Here is an 18,066-nt window from a genome sequence, read left to right on the forward strand (position 1 = left end):
AATCCCAGCACTCTGGGAGGCTGAGGCAGGTGAATCACTTGAGGTCAGGATTTCGAGACCGGCCTAGACAACATGGTAAAACCCCATCTCTACTAAAAATACAAAAATTAGCTGGGGTGGTAGCAGGTGCCTGTAATCCCAGCTACTAGGGAGGCTGAGGCAGGATAATCACTTGAATTCAAGAGGCAGAGGTTGCAGTGAGCCCCACTGCACTCCCGTCTGGGTGACAGGGTGAAACTCCATCTCAAAACACAAAAACAAATTTCTACAGTAAACAAACTGATAGAGAGGGAAAGTAGATCCATAGTCTCCAGGGGCTGGGATGAGAGGAGAATGGGAAATGACTGCTGACAGGTACAGGGTTTCTTTGGGGGATTACTTACTAAAATGTTATGGAATTACATAGTAGTGCCGATAATTACATAGCTTTGTAGATACACTAAAACCAATGAATTGTACATTTCATAGGTGAATTTTATGGTTTATAAAAGATAACAATTTAAGCTTTTCTTTAAAATACAGAAAACCTGTAGAATAAGAAAAATATTTACAAATCATATCAAGGGATTAATATCCAAAACATATTTTTAAAACGCCTAGAATCAAAAAAAAAACAACCCTGCTCTTTTAAATGGGCCAAGAATTTTTTTTTTTTTTTTTTGAGACCGAGTCTCACTCTGTCCACCAGGCTGGAGTGCAGCGGCGCGATCTCGGCTCACTGTAACCTCAGCCTCCCGGATTCAAGTGAGTCTCCTGCCTCAGCCTCCCGAGTAGTTGGGATTACAGGCGTGTACAACCACACCTGGCTAATTTTTGTATTTTTCGTAGAGAACAAGATTTCACCATGCTGGCCAGGCTTGTCTCAAATTCCTGGCATCAAGTGATCCACCTGTCTAGGCCTCCCAAAGTGCTAGGATTACAGGCAAGAGCAACCACACCAGGCCCCTTGTACACTGTTGATGGGAATTTAAAATGGTACAGCCACTACAGAAAACAGTTATTGCAGTTCCTCGGAATGTTAAAAATAGAATAACCATTTGATCCAGCAATTCCATTTCTGGGCACATACCCAAAAGAATTGAAAACAGAGACTTATATGTTCACAATGTCAGGTTAAAAAAACAATAGCAGGAACTTGAAGAGACCCATGTTCACTGAAGCATTATTCAGAATAGCCAAAAAGTGGAAGCAACCCAAGTGTCCATCCATGATGAGTAGATAAACAAACTATGCAAACAATGGAATATTATTCAGCCTTAAAAAGGACGAGAGCCTGGGCAACATGGCAAAATCCCACTTCTACAAAAAGAATTTTTTAAAAAATTAGCCGGGGCCAAGCACAGTGGCTCAGGCCTATAATCCCAGCACTTTGGGAGGTCCAGGCAGGACGACTGCTTGAGGCTAGAAGTTTGAGACCAGGCTGGGCAACACAGGGAGACCCTGTTTCTACAAAAGTAGAAAACTTAGCCAGGTGTGGGCCGGGCGCAGTGGCTCACATCTGTAATCCCAGCACTTTGGGAGGCTGAGGCGGGCAGATAATGAGGTCAGGAGATCGAGACCATCCTGACTAACACGGTGAAACCCCGTCTCTACTAAACATACAAAAAAAAAAAATTAGCCGGGCATGGTGGCGGGCGCCTGTAGTCCCAGCTACTCGGAAGGCTGAGGCAGGAGAATGGCATGAACCCGGGAGGCAGAGCTTGCAGTGAGCCGAGATCGCGCCACTGGACTCCAGCCTGGGTGACAGAGCGAGACTCCGTTTCAAAAAAAAAAAAGAAAACTTAGCCGGGTGTGCTGGTGCATGCTTGCAGCCCTAGCTACTTGAGGGGGTCAAAGCAGGGGGATTGCTTGAGCCCAGGAGGTCAAGGCTGCAGTGAGCTATAATTGTGCCACTGCATGCCACCCACGGCGACAGAGTGAGACCCTATCTCAACCCCCCACCCCCAAAAAGAAATTCTGATATACACTAAACATGGATGAACCTGGGGCTTGAGGACATTATGCTGGGTGAAATAAGCCAGTGACAAAAGGTCGAATGCTATATGATTCCACTTACATGAGGCCCCAATAAGTAGATAAACTCACAGAAAACAGAAAGATGAATGATGACTGCCAGGGGCGGGGAGAAGGGGGCAAGGTGGAGTTAGTGTTTAACTGGCAGGGAGTTTCGGCTGAGGAAGATGAAAGTGCTCTGGAGATGGATGGTGGTGATGGTTGCAAAACAAAGTGAATATACTTAATGCCACCAAACTATACACTTAAAAATGCTGAAAATGGCATGAACCTGGGAGGCGGAGCTTGCAGTCAGCTGAGATGGCGCCACTGCACTCCAGCCTGGGCGACAGAGGGAGACTCCATCTCAAAAAAAAAAAAAAAAAAAAAAACACGCTGAAAATGGTAATTTTATGTTATGTATATTTTACCACAATCAAAAAATAAAATGTAAAACTGGGACACTGAAGAAATGTGATGACAAATGATCTTACTTTGGCTCCTAGACCAGAAAAAATTCCTCTAAAGGACATTATTGGGATAACTGGCACAACCTGAATATGGACTGTAAATTAGGTAATTAAATCAATGTGAAAATTGTCCTGACTTTTATCATTGTACTATGCATATTTAAGAGAATCTCCTTTTTAGGAGGTACTCACTGAAACATGTAGAGATAACAGGACATACGTATGCAAGAAACTCTCAAATGGTTGGGGGTAGGAATAAATAAATATAAATGTATGTACATGTATTATATATATGTATATGTATATGGAAAGCAAGAAGAAAATATAATAAAACCCAATGGTAACAAATGGAGAATCTAGATGAAGCTATACAGGGTTCTTTGCACAGTTCTTCTAACTTTATCCTAAGTCTGAAATCATTTCAAAATAAAGTTTTTAAAAATTAATCTGTCCAAAATAGAGTTTCTTATCCCCAAACTGCTCCACACAGCAAACCCATCATAGAAAATGGCAGCTCTTTCTCGTTGCTCACATCAAAACTCTGAGAGTCCACCCTAACTCTTTTCTTTCACACCCATTCCCATGCCCCAGCAGATCCTACCGGCTGCACCTCGGAAATAGTTTTAGCACTTGTCCCTCGGCCTCCCCGCTAGTCCGGATCAGCCTGATCCTTGCTGGGTCGCTCCTCACAGGTCCCCTGCTCGTGGACTCGGCCCCCTCTGCGCTATTTTCAACACATCACCCAGAAGGATTCCGTCAAAACCCAAGCCAGGTCGTCACCCCCTGCTCGGAACCCTCCGACACCCCACATGGCCTACAGGGAGCCACAGAGGGGTCCCTGCTGCTTCTCAGCCCCTCCGGCTCCCGCCCCCATCCTCCTGACCTCCTGCTGCCGGCGACCCCAAGCCCGGGAGCCCTCACGGCGGGGCGCACCCCTGCACCTCCTGTCTGCCCAATGTCACTGCCCAGAGCACCCTGCGGAACAGCCCACGCTCCCCCCAGGTCCCCTTCTCCTTTGAGGCCCCAGGCCGCGGAGCTACTTGTTCATCGTGTTTCCCTCCACGAAACCAGTGCTTCCCGAGTGGTTCCTTCAACCCCGCTCTGGCGGGCGACCGCTGATGTGGACAGAGCGAGTCACCGGGCGTAGGGGTCCCTGGGAGCCCCCCCACCCACCGCCTCTGCCCTCCCCACGTCGAGAGCCGTTGCCCGTCAGGGGAAGCTGCACTCCCACGGCCCATACAAGTGGGAGGCCTCTGGGGAAGCGGCCCTGGACATTCCGTTTGCCTCTCTGGAGGGGAAGGGGTGGCCCAGAGCGAACCCCCACACCCCCTCTCCCATTGCCTGCTCACCCCATCACCTCCCCTCCCTACAAGGCCCTCTGTGCAGCCCGGGCTGGCACAGCAAGGAAGGGGGGCTCACCCCAGAGCGCCCCCGCCTGCCAGCCCGTGGGTCGAGGCCAAATAAGGCCGGACGGCAGCCGAGGGCCCCCGCACCCCGCCCGCGGCCCCGCCCCGCGCACATTCTTCTGCCTTGTAAGGCCCGGCCGCCACGCCCCGCCCCCGCCTGGAGTCCAGACCCGACGGCCGGCCCAGTTCCACGCACCCAGCGAGCCCAAGCGCCTTCTCCGCACCAGGTGGGATCCGGGGCCCCGGGGGTCTTGAGGACAGGCCTAACGGCCCAGGGCTGGAGATGAGAGGTGGCCCGGGCCCGACCCGGCTGTCACGGGGGGCAAAGGCGGGCCCCACGGACTGGGACGTGGTAGGGTCTGTTGGGCACGGACTGAGGGGTGAGCTGGGGCAGCGAGTTTGCTGGGGGCCGACAGGGACTCTGGCCAGGGGCCGGGCAGCAGGAAGGCTGTTCTGGCCTCTGAGAAGCAGTGGTCCTGCGGCAAGGGAAGGCCATCGTCCAGGCCCTGCCCCTTTGCTGAGGAGCTGGAGATGCCAAGCCCAGAGCTCCGGGGGGGGCTGGGGAGCCCGGGTACAAGGGTGCTGGGGAGAGGGTTGCAGTCGTCAGTTCCCCCTGGCCCAGTAAAGGCATGTGTGTCACAGATGGAGAAACAGCCCTGTGGGACTCCACGCCCCCACAGCATCTGTGTCCCCTCCCCATCTCCCATCCCTACACCCTGGGCCAGGGGAAAGGGACCGAGACCAGGGGGCCCTTCCGACACAGCCAGTGCTGTATGCAGGGACCCGGGCCTTCCCCTCTCTGGGTCATCTCGCCTGTGGGTGGGGAAGGTCTGCGGAGGGCCCTGATGGACTCACCCCTAGGGGGCAGGACGAGGACTAGTGGCTGGGAGAACCTGATCCCTGCTCTTCCCAGCCCTCCAGCTGCTCTAAGGAGGAGACTCAGATGAGGTGCACTGAGAAGGAGGCATCTGGCCTGCCCAGCTCCAGGGGCTGGAGGTCATGGGGGCACTGCCCTGTGCTGGCTTCAGCCCAGCCTTTTCTGTTATGGTGGGAATCTGGACACCAGGATGGGGGACATGGCATCCAGTCACATCCAGGCCAAGTATCAGTGCTGACCCCTGGTGTCTAGGGCACCTGAAGGGGGAAGCGATGGCCTCAGAACTAAAGGCCCCACCCATGCCTGCCCCTCGCCCCTCCACCAGTTCTAGAAGGCGCCTCTGGATACACAGAGCCCTTTCCCACTCCACTGCCACAGGCCCGCCTGAGGACTGGGGCTCCCTGTTTTGTTCAAGCCTCGAGGGCACCAGCAGCCAAGTTTGCTCTCCACTGACCCAAACCTAGCCCAGGAATCCTGTCTTCCAGGTGGCCCCTCCCCCTCTCATGGGCACTCCACTCCCCTTCTGGGGCCTCTTTTCCTAGCTGCACCATGGGGGCACCCCTGCCTCCGCTCACCACTTCCCACAATTGCTGGGGTGGACATGGCGGCCTTGTGCAAGCCCTTAAGTACAGTGCTCCCAGCCACACCACAGCAGAGAGTGCAGACCGGGTGGCCATGAAGGCAGAGGGGCCCAGCTGGGCTCAGACCCAGCTGTGGGTGGCCTGGCCATGCCTGCCCTAGAGCTTCATAGAGTGTGGTGGGGACAGTGATGGCCATCACAGCCTCTGTTGGGCACAGTGCACTGCCTCTCTGCATGCAGCCTTCTGTGGGCACCAGGAGTCAAAGTTCCCGAGAACACTGGACTCAGGGAAGGACTAGGCCCCTCTAAAGCACGGGAGAGGAGGGGGCCGGCATCTGGGGACAATGGCACTCCCAACTAGGTCATGGGTGAGAAGGAATTCTGTCTACCTTCCTGAACCATGCAAGAAACACTGAGGGCTGGGTGTGTCGGTCCGTGGGACACGGGCAACCACTGTCTCATGACTACAGGCAGTGATGGCCCTGGGGACCAGCTGGGGCTGGCCGGGATCCCAGTCCAGGGTTGATGATCTCAAAGGCCAAGGACCGAGAATGACTTCAACAGAGTCATGGGAGGAAGGCCTGGAAACAGCTCAAGTTGCAACCACACAGCTTGGGGTGAACAACAGGCAGAGGAGGCTTCCTGGAGGCCCTGGGCCCGGGGGTTTGGGCAGAGGGAAGAGGGGCCGCAGTCCTGGAACCTCAGCCAGGCCCACTGCCCCAGCCGAGGGAAGGAGGCACTGGGTCTTCAGGCGCATATCCCCACAAGCTGTGGCAAGCATTCAGGGAAACAGTCCCAGGCCTGGTCTCAGTTTCCCCATCTGTACAGTAGAAGCAGCAGACTGGCCGTAGTTGCCTTCATATAGTCATTCATCAAACAAGCATCTGTTAGCCCAACTATGGCCTGGGATTGGTGTAAACTGGGGGATCTATGCTGGCCCACAAGGGAGAGAGATCTTTAAGTGTTTACTGTGGAAGCAAGGGTACAGGGAACAGCTCCCTAGGAGAGGGGGGCGGTCTCAAGAACTGGGCTGGAGAAGAAAGAGCACAGGGGAGGAGGGGACCACAGAGGAAAGCCTGGGAGTGTCCAGGGAACTGCAGAGGTCAGAAGGGTAGGATTGTGGGTCACAAGAGGGACACCACGAGGGCTGTCAGAGAGGCCAGGAGGGACTCACACAGGGCCTTGAATGCCAGGATGAGGGACCCAGACTTGCTCTGAGGGGCGGCAGGAACCTTCAAGGGCTTCACAATGATAGGTGTAGGTCAGGGTCTGTATGGGACAGAAGAGGCCGGCTGGAGGCTAAGAAGCCAGGTCTAAGCAAGGGTGAAGAAGCTGGGGTTCTCAGCCCAAGCAAGCCTCACACCCCGATAAGCAGTGGGGAGTGAGAACAAGGAGTGGGACCCAGGATCAGTCTGTGACCACTCACCACTGGGGGGCTGGTCAAGCTCCCTGAGGTGGACAGGCGGGGGTTTGACTGCCCAGAGCCTCCTAGAACCTCAGGCGGGCAGCAGAGGGATGGAGTGGGAGAGTGAGGAACGGCAGGAATGCAGGAATGCTGATCCAGCTCCTTCCTGCAGGGCCAGGGAGCCTGGATGGCAGCCCAGGAGAGCCCTCACTGACTCCCACGAGTGGACCCACCTTGTCACTTGGAAAGAGAGAGGGACAGTGTAAATGCTATTAAGGATTAAAGGAGATAAAGCATGGTAATGGTTGGCACCAAGCCCAATCCTAAGTGTTTTACCCAAACAGTCACAGCCAAAATAGCTGATTCCATGCCCGGCACTGTTCCAGGAGCTCTCGGGCACTGAGTCAGTTAATCCCTACTGCTGGGCACTCCTCATGTCTCCAGTCCCAGATGAAGACTCTCGGGCTCAGAGAGGTAGAGGAAGTTGTTCAGAATCACACAGCCACACTTGTCTGCTTTTGTGAAGAACTGGGTGGTGGGAGCCCCAAATCCGTGGGCAGCCTTGAATGCCAGGCCGAAGTGCTAAAAGCCAGTCTGGGGGAGGCAGGAAGATTCCCTGGCCCAGAGTCACAGGGCCACCCAACCCCCACCCCTTCCTGCAGGGAAGCCCCACCCACCAGAAGCCAAGATGTCCAGCAAGCGGGCCAAAGCCAAGACCACCAAGAAGCGGCCACAGCGGGCCACATCCAATGTCTTCGCAATGTTTGACCAGTCCCAGATCCAGGAGTTTAAGGAGGCTTTCAACATGATTGACCAGAACCGTGATGGCTTCATTGACAAGGAGGACCTGCACGACATGCTGGCCTCGCTGGGTGAGCTGGGACAGGGACAGGGGTGAGATGGATGAGGCCAGGCAGGCTCTGCCAATCATTTACAGGGCACCTCCTGTGTAGTGAGACGCGTGGTGTCCACCTTAGAGAATAGTTGCCATTAACTTAGTCCATTCAACAGGGAAACTGGGCCGGGCGCGGTGGCTCACGCCTGTAATCCCAGCACTTTGGGAGGCCAAGGCGGGCGGATCAATAGGTCAGGAGATCGAGACCATCCTGGCTAACACGGTGAAACCCTGACTCTACTAAAAATACCAAAAATTAGCCGAGCGTGGTGGCGGGCGCCTGTAGTCCCAGCTACTTGGGAGGCTGAGGCAGGAGAATGGCGTGAACCCGGAAAGCGGAGGTTGCAGTGAGCCGAGATCGCCCCACTGCACTCCAGCCTGGGCAACAGAGCGAGACTCCATCTCAAAAAAAAAAAAAAAAACAGGGAAACTGAAGCACAAAGCAGGTCCACCACAGGGTCTGAACGTAGACAGGCTGACTCCACAGTGGGCCTGTCTTAGGCAGATTTGTGCACTGGGCTGCCAGGTATCATTTCATTTAAAGAAAGGGGTCAGCTGGCCAGGCGCTGTGGCTCACGCCTGTAATCCCAGCATTTTGGGAGGCCAAGGCGGGCGGATCACGAGGTCAGAAGATCGAGATCATCCTGGCTAACATGGTGAAACCCCGTCTCTACTAAAAATACAAAAATTAGCTGGGCGTGGTGGCGGGCGCCAGCTACTCGGGAGGCTGAGGCAGGAGAATGGTGTGAACCTGGGAGGCGGAGTTTGCAGTGAGCCAAGATCACGCCACTGCACTCCAGCCTGGGCGACAGAGCAAGACTCCGTCTCAAAACAGAAAGAAAGGAAAGAAAGAGGTCAGCATCTAAATGAAAGTGTGAACTGCAGGCTGCCCACTGCACAGATGGGGAAACTGAGGCCTAGAGGGGCGGCCAGACCAGCTCCCCTCCTTCAGAGGTCACCCATCTCAGGCTCTCATAGCCTCTCTGGTCCCAGTGACTTCCTCAGGATCAGGACCTTAGAACTAACAGGGTACAAAAATCAAGTCCAATTCTCTACTGCAGATGGGGAAACACAGGCCCAGAGGCAAGGCCTCCACAGACCATGCCCCAACCCACGGGCCTGCCCCAACATCCCTCCCAAAGTGCTGGCCACAGCCAGCCACTCTCAGCCCAGTTCCCGCGTACCCCTCATGCCGAGTGACAGCATCCAGACCAGACACTGCCTGGGGGAGGGAGAGTCCAGGACCAGAGGACACAGCCCCGTGACAGTCAAGCCTCGAGCTTTGAGGCCAGAGAGTCAGTCCCTGGTAGGGCCCTGTGCACTTTCCTCTTCCTGTGAAATGGGGCCATGACCCTGACATTTCCCCACGAGGCACTGAGCAGGAGAACCAGGCAAACCTGAGTGGGAGAACTGACAGCACGCTGCCCCCGGCCCTGAGCACCAAACCTCTCCCCGCTTCTGGCCAGGCTCGCTTGAAGGCTCCCTCCCCCAGGAGGTCACCTGGCAGGAAGTAAACTCCAGGGTTCTTTTTTTTTCCCCCCGAGACAAAATCTCACTCTGTTGCCCAGGCTGGAGTGGCACCATCTCGGCTCACTGCAACCTCCGTCTCCCAGGTTCAAGAGATTCTCCTGCCTCAGCCTCCCCAGTAGCTGGGATTACAGACGTGCGCCACCATGCCCGGCTAATTTTTGTATTTTTAGTAGAGACAGGGTTTCGCCATGTTGGCCAGGCTGGTCTCAAACTCCAGAGCCCATCTTGGCCTCCCAAAGTACTGGGATTACAGGTGTGAGCTACCACGCCTGGCCAACTCCAGGGTTCTTATCTGGGGCTTTCCCAGCTTCGTGGAAGGACTGAGGCCTGGTGAGAGAAGGGGCTGGCCTTAAGTACCCCAGTGTCCTGGCGTCACAGCTCCTCTTGGGCCTCAGCTTCCATGGCCATCCCAGGGGGACACAGCAGGGTATGTGAGGCTCAGGGACATGAAAACTTCCTATTTCCAAGGCCACACCCTGCACCCAGGCCCCTGAACCCCTGAGACTTCATGACAGCCCTGGGTGTCCACCCAGAAAAACATGCACTGTGTTTGTAGCTCATATCCGTGGGTCTGCAGGTGAGTCACACCCTTATCTTCAAGTTAAAAACAAGAGCAGCAAATATAATAATAAGAAGAAGCCCTGCAGGTATTATCTTAAATCTCAAAGCAATCCTATTGAACAGATACAATTATTCCCACTTTACAAACAAGGAAACTGAGGCTCAGAGAGGTTAAGTAATTTACCCAAGGTCACACAGCTACCAAGTAGTGGGGCTGCAATAGAAACCCAGCAGTTGATTCCAGTCCATAGGCCTGTGCCAGTCATTGTTATGAGCCTTTTGCAACTACTGTCTTCACAATTCCCCTAAGAGATGGGGAAAACCAAGGTGCACAGCTGGGATCCAAACCCAGGCCTGTCTGACAGCAAAGCACTGTGTCTGGACTTTGGAGTTAGGCTGCCTGGGTTCAAATGCCAGGTCTACTCAAGTCTCCTCCTTACTTGCTGTCTGACCCTGGACAAGTCACCTGGCCTCTCTGTGCCTCAGCTTCCATACCTGTGAAGTGGGTAAGAATGCTGACTTCACAGGGTGGTGAAAGTTAAATGCAATAAGGCACGTGGTCGACCAGCCACAGCGAGCAGTCTGCAGAGGGTTGTTCTTATTACACTTTAGTGAGCACTGCCGGCTGCTGACATCCAGGCCACAGGAGGAAACTGGTGGGAGCAGCCAGGGACTCCGGGCGCCCACTGCTGTGGCTGCGCTAGAGCCATGCTTTCCAGTTCACAAAACCCACTACCTCCCGTCTCACACGGAGCGGTGAAGGGCAGGGGTGGGGGACGGGGGTGCAAGTTGTCCCAGCTGGGGACAGAGGGCCCAGGACCACAGGCTGGAACACCCCACCTGCCACAGGGAAGAACCCCACAGACGAATACCTGGAGGGCATGATGAGCGAGGCCCCGGGGCCCATCAACTTCACCATGTTCCTCACCATGTTTGGGGAGAAGCTGAACGGCACGGACCCCGAGGATGTGATTCGCAACGCCTTTGCCTGCTTCGACGAGGAAGCCTCAGGTCCGTGGCGCCCCCTACCACCACTCTGCATGCAAGTGGAACAGGGCCCAGGCATTCAGTGCCTCTGCCCCTAAGGGCCAGAACAGACATCACCCATCTCCCAGGTTCTGTCACCAGAACTATAAAAGCCAGGCCACCTCCTTATTGTCGCCGCAAAGGCTAGGCCAGAACAGCCCATGCCCCAAGACTCCTGCCTTCGTGATCTCCCCCGCTGGCCCAATGCACATTCTCCATCTGTTTTAGACCTTTCCAGAAATCAAACCATTTCATGCCTTTCTTGCCAAGAAGGTATAGAAACTGGCCCCCCTCCTCGGATCTCCTAACGGATATTCCATCCCTCAGCTCATTTTTCCCAGGGACATGTCAGGGTGATGATGGCCATGGTAACATGGCCATGGGCCCGCACGGGCCTGACTACCTTCACGGTCCCTCACTGCAATGGCATACGTTCATCCCTGTTTTCTAGATTAAACAGGCACACGGAGGTTAAGGACCTTGCCCAAAGTCACATAGCTAGGGAGAATGGGAATCAGCACTGCAACTCAGGCAGTGGAACTCCAGAGCTCACGCTTAAAACAGGGCACACCCAACACCATCTGTGTGCACAGCCTCAAGTTCCCCAAGTGACACCTCGGAGACAGTCCCACTGCACAACTCCTCCCCTCAGGACCCTGGCACCCCTTCACGTGGGATCCGACACCCCTTCACGTGCACCCCCACACCCCTCCTGCCACGTCCTCATTCCTCAGACTGACCAGAGACTAAGATTGTATCTTCCCAGCCCCTCTAGGTCTGCAAGAGCTGCCAGGGGGCTGAGGGATGGGGCTGCTGTGTATGTCTCAGCCCAAGTTCCTGCTCTCACCCACCCTGCCCCTGCCCGCAGGTTTCATCCATGAGGACCACCTCCGGGAGCTGCTCACCACCATGGGTGACCGCTTCACAGATGAGGAAGTGGACGAGATGTACCGGGAGGCACCCATTGATAAGAAAGGCAACTTCAACTACGTGGAGTTCACCCGCATCCTCAAACATGGCGCCAAGGATAAAGACGACTAGGCCACCCCAGCCCCCTGACACCCCAGCCCCCGCCAGTCACCCCTCCCCGCACACACCCGTCCATACCAGCTCCCTGCCCATGACCCTCGCTCAGGGATCCCCCTTTGAGGGGTTAGGGTCCCAGTTCCCAGTGGAAGAAACAGGCCAGGAGAAGTGCGTGCCGAGCTGAGGCAGATGTTCCCACAGTGACCCCAGAGCCCTGGGCTATAGTCTCTGACCCCTCCAAGGAAAGACCACCTTCTGGGGACATGGGCTGGAGGGCAGGACCTAGAGGCACCAAGGGAAGGCCCCATTCCGGGGCTGTTCCCCGAGGAGGAAGGGAAGGGGCTCTGTGTGCCCCCCAGGAGGAAGAGGCCCTGAGTCCTGGGATCAGACACCCCTTCACGTGTATCCCCACACAAATGCAAGCTCACCAAGGTCCCCTCTCAGTCCCCTTCCCTACACCCTGACCGGCCACTGCCGCACACCCACCCAGAGCACGCCACCCGCCATGGGAGTGTGCTCAGGAGTCGCGGGCAGCGTGGACATCTGTCCCAGAGGGGGCAGAATCTCCAATAGAGGACTGAGCACTGCTTCTGGTCTGTGTGTCTGTGGCTGGGGTGAAGTAAGGGGACCCCGGGCCTGAAACCCTCTCCCACCTTCTCCTGCCATCTCCAGTTACTGCCCTGCTCCTCCCACCCTGGCCCAGGGAAGGACTGGGTGTCCTCCGGCCATATGGTCCCTGAAGCCTCTAGGGACCAGAGTCCCTAGTAAGTGGGCTCTGTGCTCAGCTGAGACCAGCAGGGGACAGGGGACGGAGGGAATGGGCCTCATGGCCTTCTCAGGGCTTGTGGGAAAGGGAGGACCATGGGAATCACCACAGCCAATCCCGTGGAGGGTTCCAGGCCTCTTGGGGGGCAGAGGTCAGGCCACACAGCCCTCAGGACTAAAGCTCCGGGTTCCAGAAGAACAGGGAGGCTCCAACAGTGATGAGGCAGGCGTCCCAGCAGCTCAGGGTTGGAGGTGGGAATGAGGGGTTTCCCAGCCCCAGGCAGGTGGAGGGCGAGTTCAGCCCCAGGACCAACAGCATGGGGGCCACAGCTTTCCATGTCCCTGTGTACGCAGGGCAGGCAGGGCCGGGACCCCTGCTACTGGTGGATGATGGGGACACTGATGGCAGTGCCTGGGGCCTAAGAGGGGCAGAAAGAGCGCTGAATGACTGAGCAGAGAGTCCAGAGGGGCATGGACTGCCTGGGTCACCCAATAGGCCTAGGGAAGAGTGAGGGCCGGACCCACCCCACCTGACCCCAGCGAGTGGACCCAGCTTGGTCCTGAGGCCTTCTCCAGAGGTCACCCAGCGCAGGCAGCCGCAGCACTCAGCAAAGGTCCCAGATCAGGGCCAAGGGGGAGCTGAGCACCAGGGGACCCTGTGCCTGACCAGGAGGCCCTAACCTCCTGCAGGCCTCAACGCCAGGCCCTGCTCAGAGCTCGGCTGAAACTCCTCATCCTGGCTCCAAACAGAGGCCCAAAAGTCCCTGGTATCAACTCCAGAAGGGGCGAGACCCGAACAAGTTCCAAACCAGGCCCAAATAGTATCCCAAACTCAGTCCCAAACACATTCTCACCCCCGGCAGCAGGCTGCAGGCCTCCAGCTACACACACGGCCCTGGGCAACTCTCAGTCTGGCCACCCATTCGATGCTGCCAGCCCCAAGGGTGTGGGAGGGGGGTCTCAGAGTGTCCCAGGGTACTGGCCACACATGCCCGACACCAGGGTCATAAGGTCCTCTCAGCAGAGCCACTGCAGCACCAAAGGCATTTCTGGAAGGAGGCAAGGACGCGTCATCTAGATGTCAAGCCCCAGCGTGCGATTCTGTCACAGTTCACCCCACCTTCACCCCGAGACGGAAGACGGAAGAGCTTCGCACACAGGCGGGAAGAGGTCAGGACCAGTCCAGCCTCACTGGCTTCAGAACTGGCCTGGGGGCTACCTTGACCCACAGGAAGGGAAGAGGAACGTGCTCTGGGCAGGGCAAGGCAGGACCTGCAGCACCCACAGACCAGCAGTAAAGGACCCCCGGAACTTTCCAAGTCTAGCACAAAACCCAGAAGCCACAAAGGAAAATACTGGCAGATTTAAATGCATGAAGTCAACATTCTTTTTGTAGAGCTAAAGAAACCATAAGCAAAATTAAAAGCCAAATGCATTCTGGGAGGAAATACCTGCAGCATATTTAACAAAACAAGAGTTAACACTAATCTATATAAAGCTTCAGTAATTGAATCAGAAAAAGACAACGCCGTAGGAAAAAAATGGTAACATGAAAAGGAATCTCAGAAGAAATGCATATACTTATTTTTTTCTTTTTTTTTTGAGACAGAGTCTCGCTCTTTCTCCCAGGCTGGAGTGCAGTGGCGTGATCTCGGCTCACTGCAACCTCCGCCTCCCGGGTTCAAGTGATTCTCCTGCCTCAACCTCCCAAGTAGCTGGGACTACAGGTGTGCGCCACCACGCCCAGCTAATTTTTGTATATTTAGTAGAGACAGGGTTTCACCATGTTCGCCAGATGGTCTCCATCTCTTGACCTTGTGATCCACCCACCTTAGCCTCCCAAAGTGCTGGGATTACAGGGGTGGGCCACCACGCCCGGCCAAAATACATACACTTAATAAGAACATTTTAAATACTCACCAAATACATTTTTAAGTGCTCAACATCATTGTAAAACTGTAAAATTTTCTATTTTTTCCTAGTATTTGTCTAGCTTTTTCAGACTGGGTCTTTCTGTTGCTCAGGCTGGAGTGCAGTGGTGTGATCATAGGTCCCTGCAGCCTAGAACTCCTGGGCTCAAGCAATTCTCCCACCTCAGCCTCCTGAGCAGCTGCTACTACAGACCTGTGCCACCACGCCTGACTAATTTTTTATTTTTTGTAGAGAGAGGATCTTGCTATGTTGCCCAGGCTGGTGTCAAACTCCTGGGCTCAAGCAATCCTCCCACCTTGGCCTCTCAAAGTGGTGAGATTACAAGTGTGAACCACCACACCTGGCCTTAATTTTTTAATTTTTGTGGTTTTTCTCTTTTGAGACAGAGTTTCACTCTTGTTGCCCATGCTGGAGTGCAATGGCACGATCTCAGCTCACGGCAACCTCCCAGGTTCAAGCGATTCTCCTGCCTCAGCCTCCCGAGTAGCTGGGATCACAGGCAGCCGCCACCACGCCTGGATAACTTTTTGTATTTTTAGTAGAGAGGGGGTTTCACTATGTTGGCCAGGCTGGTCTCGAACTCCTGACATCAGGTGATCCACCTGCCTTGGCCTCCCAAAGTGCTAGGATTACAGGCATGTGCCACTGCACCTAGCCAATTTTTAAATTTTTGGTAGAGATGGGGTCTCGCTTTGTTGCCTGGGCTGGCCTCAAACTCTTGGCCTCAAGTGATCCTTCTGCCTCAGCCTCCCAAGTAGCTAAGACTACAAACACATACCACCACACCTGACAGAGTCCTTTTTTTAAATTCCTCCAAAGGCTAGCACTTTTAAAACATTAGAAATTCCATTTATTTTCTGAAAATTTTTGTGTTTCCTTATCTTTCTGGCAGCCTCATTAGACCTTATAATAGAATCAAAATGAATCTTAAACTTTTTTTTTTGAGACTCAGTTTCACTCTGTCACCCAGAATGGAGTACAGTGGTGTGATCTCAGTTCACTGCAACCTCCGCCTCCCAAGTTCAAGTGATTCTCCTGCCTCAGCTCCCCAAGTAGCTGGGATTACAGGCACGCACCACCATGTTCAGCTAATTTTGTATTTTTAGTAGAGCTGGGGTTTCACCATGTTGGTCAGGCTGGCCTTGAACTCCTGACCTCAGGTGATCTACCCACCTCTGCCTCCCAAAGTGCTTGGGATTACAGGCGTGAGCCACAGCAACCGGCCTAGATCTTAAAATTTAAGAGACATTATAATTTAATTTGATATACTATGGTGGTAGAAAAACATTTCAAACTCATATAGATACAGAAACTTGGAAGCTTCAGTTCTACAGTCTTTCATACATCAAGTTAAACCAAAAAACACAAAAACTCACTGATCCACATCTCAATGGGCTTTCTCCTTTCAGTGTTTCCTTAAGTGACTTGAGATCACAAACATGCAAAATAACGACCAAAAAAACCTAACAAATCAGGTTTCCTGTCATCTCTCTCTAGATAAAAAACAGACCCCCACCGTCCTGATGGAGATAAACTAAGAGATCATAAAATCATTGTTGCCAGCTATGAGAAACAGCTTGGTCAAGAGCCAGAAACAAAACAGAGAATCAGGCCAGCCTCAGTGGCCCACGCCTGTAATCCCAGCACTTTGGGAGGCCGAGGCAGGCAGATCACACGAGGTCAGGAGTTCGAGGCTAGCCTGGCCAACATGGTGAAACCTCATCTCCACTAAACATACAAAAATTAGCCAGGTGTGGTGGGGCACACCTGTAGTCCCAGCTACTCAGGAGGCTGAGGCAGGAGAATCACTTGAACCCGGGAGGTGGAGACTACAGTGAGCTGAGATCGTGCCACTGCACTCCAGCCTGGGCAACAGAGTGAGATGCCGTCTCAAAAAAAGAAAAGAGGCTGGGGCGGGAGGATCGCTGGAAACCAGAAGTTCAAGGCTACACTGAGCTATGATTGCACCACTGCACACCAGCCTGGGTGACAGAGGGAGACTCTGTCTCTAAAAGTATATAAATAAATAAATAAACAAAAAAGGAAAGATAGACAGATGGGGGAAAACACCAGAGTCCGTGAAAGTATTTTGTTGTTGTTGTTGTTGTTGTTCTTTTTTGAGACAAAGTCTCGCTCTGTCACCCAGGCTGGAGTGCAGTGGTGCGATCTCGGCTCACTGCAATGTCCACCTCCTGGGTTCAAACGATTCTCCTGCCTCAGCCTCCAGACTAGCTGGGATTATAGGCACACACCACCACACCCACCTAACTTTTATATTTTTAGTAGAGACTGGGTTTCACCATGTTGGCCAGGCTGGTCTCGAACTTCTGACCTCAGGTGATCTACCCACCTCGTCCTCCCAAAGTGCTGAGATTACAGGTGTGAGCCACCACACCTGGCCTTACTGTATTGTTTTTTGGTGGTATTGTTATTTTTATTGGTTTTTTCTTTTTTTGTGATGGAGTTTCGCTCTTGCTGCCCAGGCAGGAGTGCAATGGCGAAATCTCGGCTCACTACAACCTCCGCCTCCTGGGTTTAAGCGATTCTCCTGCCTCAGCCTCCTGAGTAGCTGGGATTACAGGCATGCACCACCATGCCTGGCTAATTTTGTATTTTAAGTAGAGACGGGGTTTTACCATGTTGATCAGACTGGTCTCAAACTCCCAACCTCAGGTGATCTGCCTGCCTCGGTCTCCCAAAGTGCTGGGATTACAGGCATGAGCCACTGCGCCGCTCATTTTTTTTTTTTTCTGTAGAGGCAGTCTCCCTATGTTGCCCAGACTAGTCTCAAATTCCTGGGCTCAAGTGATCCTCCTGCCTCATGATATTTTCTATCTGAAGTTGGTTGAATCCATGGATGCAGAACCTGCAGATATGAAGGGACAACTGCAGTCAGAAAGAAAAGCAAATTAAAAATAAGAAGCCACTTTATGCCCATCAGATTGTCAAAATTTGGAGAGAGGGATGATACCATTGGAAAAGATGCAGAGAATCCTAAGGCGATGAGAGGACAGACTGGCGCACCAGTGCAGGACAGCAACCACGCAGCACCTGTGAGCAAGCAAATCCCTTCTGATGCAGCAACTCCACACTTGGAAACGTATACCAGAGGAATTGTGCATAGGCCCAGAAGGGGCAGGAACAGTTCACTGAGGCAGCACTGACAGTAACAGGGAACTGGAGGGGACCTACTTATCTATCAAGAGGAAAATCAGTAAGTGAAACGTGATGAATGCATACTGTGGATACCATGCAGGACTCAATGTCCATACCTCAACAGGGCTGCATATCAAAAGCAATATGAGGGAGAAAAGACATGGGATGAGAGTATCGCCCAAGAACTTCAGTGTAATTTTAAAACATGCAGACTTAACCACTGCAGAATTGCCCAGGGGACTCTTCATACATAGCCAAGGACCCATTCAAAACCCTCAAGAGTGGATTCCTAGGGTGAGGTGGGGCTTAGAGGTAGTGCCTGGGGACATATTGATGGCCTTGTGTCCTGAATGCAGTGTGTCATATGCAAGTGAGGAGGACAAGGAAGAGATGGGGCCACGCTGACTGGGAAGAGAGAAAGAGTGAAGCTTATATAAGATAGTAC

The 18,066-nt window shown here is 53.7% G+C and overlaps 1 protein-coding gene and 1 long non-coding RNA gene across 3 annotated transcripts in view, besides 6 other annotated features; one reads left to right on the top strand and one right to left on the bottom strand.

The window, feature by feature from the left end:
• Window positions 1-18,066, bottom strand: part of DLGAP4-AS1 (DLGAP4 antisense RNA 1) — a 65,574-nt gene that overhangs the window by 29,765 nt on the left and 17,743 nt on the right. The window lies entirely within an intron of this gene.
• Window positions 3,874-4,073: a silencer, noted in NCBI's record as "silent region_12872". NCBI's record gives its function as "represses an Ori minimal core promoter by ATAC-STARR-seq in GM12878 lymphoblastoid cells {active_cell/tissue: GM12878}" and the evidence as "EXISTENCE:reporter gene assay evidence [ECO:0000049][PMID:35858748]".
• Window positions 4,053-13,981, top strand: MYL9 (myosin light chain 9). 2 transcript variants are annotated; one of them, NM_006097.5, is made up of 4 exons: window positions 4,053-4,095; window positions 7,393-7,602; window positions 10,566-10,727; window positions 11,611-13,981. In NM_006097.5, exons 2-4 carry the CDS (start codon window positions 7,419-7,421, stop codon window positions 11,781-11,783), a joined length of 519 nt encoding a protein of 172 aa, NP_006088.2. In that variant the 5' UTR covers window positions 4,053-4,095; window positions 7,393-7,418; the 3' UTR covers window positions 11,784-13,981. The 2 variants fall into 2 exon arrangements, with proteins under 2 accessions (NP_006088.2, NP_852667.1); NM_181526.3 differs by lacking the exon at window positions 10,566-10,727.
• Window positions 4,854-5,507: an enhancer, noted in NCBI's record as "H3K27ac-H3K4me1 hESC enhancer chr20:35170723-35171376 (GRCh37/hg19 assembly coordinates)". NCBI's record gives its function as "activates a minimal SCP1, AML or CMV promoter by ChIP-STARR-seq in naive and primed H9 embryonic stem cells {active_cell/tissue: H9 hESC(naive and primed)}" and the evidence as "EXISTENCE:reporter gene assay evidence [ECO:0000049][PMID:30033119]".
• Window positions 5,508-6,161: an enhancer, noted in NCBI's record as "H3K27ac-H3K4me1 hESC enhancer chr20:35171377-35172030 (GRCh37/hg19 assembly coordinates)". NCBI's record gives its function as "activates a minimal SCP1, AML or CMV promoter by ChIP-STARR-seq in primed H9 embryonic stem cells {active_cell/tissue: H9 hESC(primed)}" and the evidence as "EXISTENCE:reporter gene assay evidence [ECO:0000049][PMID:30033119]".
• Window positions 6,162-6,815: an enhancer, noted in NCBI's record as "H3K27ac-H3K4me1 hESC enhancer chr20:35172031-35172684 (GRCh37/hg19 assembly coordinates)". NCBI's record gives its function as "activates a minimal SCP1, AML or CMV promoter by ChIP-STARR-seq in primed H9 embryonic stem cells {active_cell/tissue: H9 hESC(primed)}" and the evidence as "EXISTENCE:reporter gene assay evidence [ECO:0000049][PMID:30033119]".
• Window positions 6,816-7,469: an enhancer, noted in NCBI's record as "H3K27ac-H3K4me1 hESC enhancer chr20:35172685-35173338 (GRCh37/hg19 assembly coordinates)". NCBI's record gives its function as "activates a minimal SCP1, AML or CMV promoter by ChIP-STARR-seq in primed H9 embryonic stem cells {active_cell/tissue: H9 hESC(primed)}" and the evidence as "EXISTENCE:reporter gene assay evidence [ECO:0000049][PMID:30033119]".
• Window positions 10,090-11,018: an enhancer, noted in NCBI's record as "H3K4me1 hESC enhancer chr20:35175959-35176887 (GRCh37/hg19 assembly coordinates)". NCBI's record gives its function as "activates a minimal SCP1, AML or CMV promoter by ChIP-STARR-seq in naive H9 embryonic stem cells {active_cell/tissue: H9 hESC(naive)}" and the evidence as "EXISTENCE:reporter gene assay evidence [ECO:0000049][PMID:30033119]".

This window comes from Homo sapiens, chromosome 20 (genome assembly GCF_000001405.40).
Source record: "Homo sapiens chromosome 20, GRCh38.p14 Primary Assembly".
Classification (NCBI taxonomy): Eukaryota; Metazoa; Chordata; class Mammalia; order Primates; family Hominidae; genus Homo; species Homo sapiens.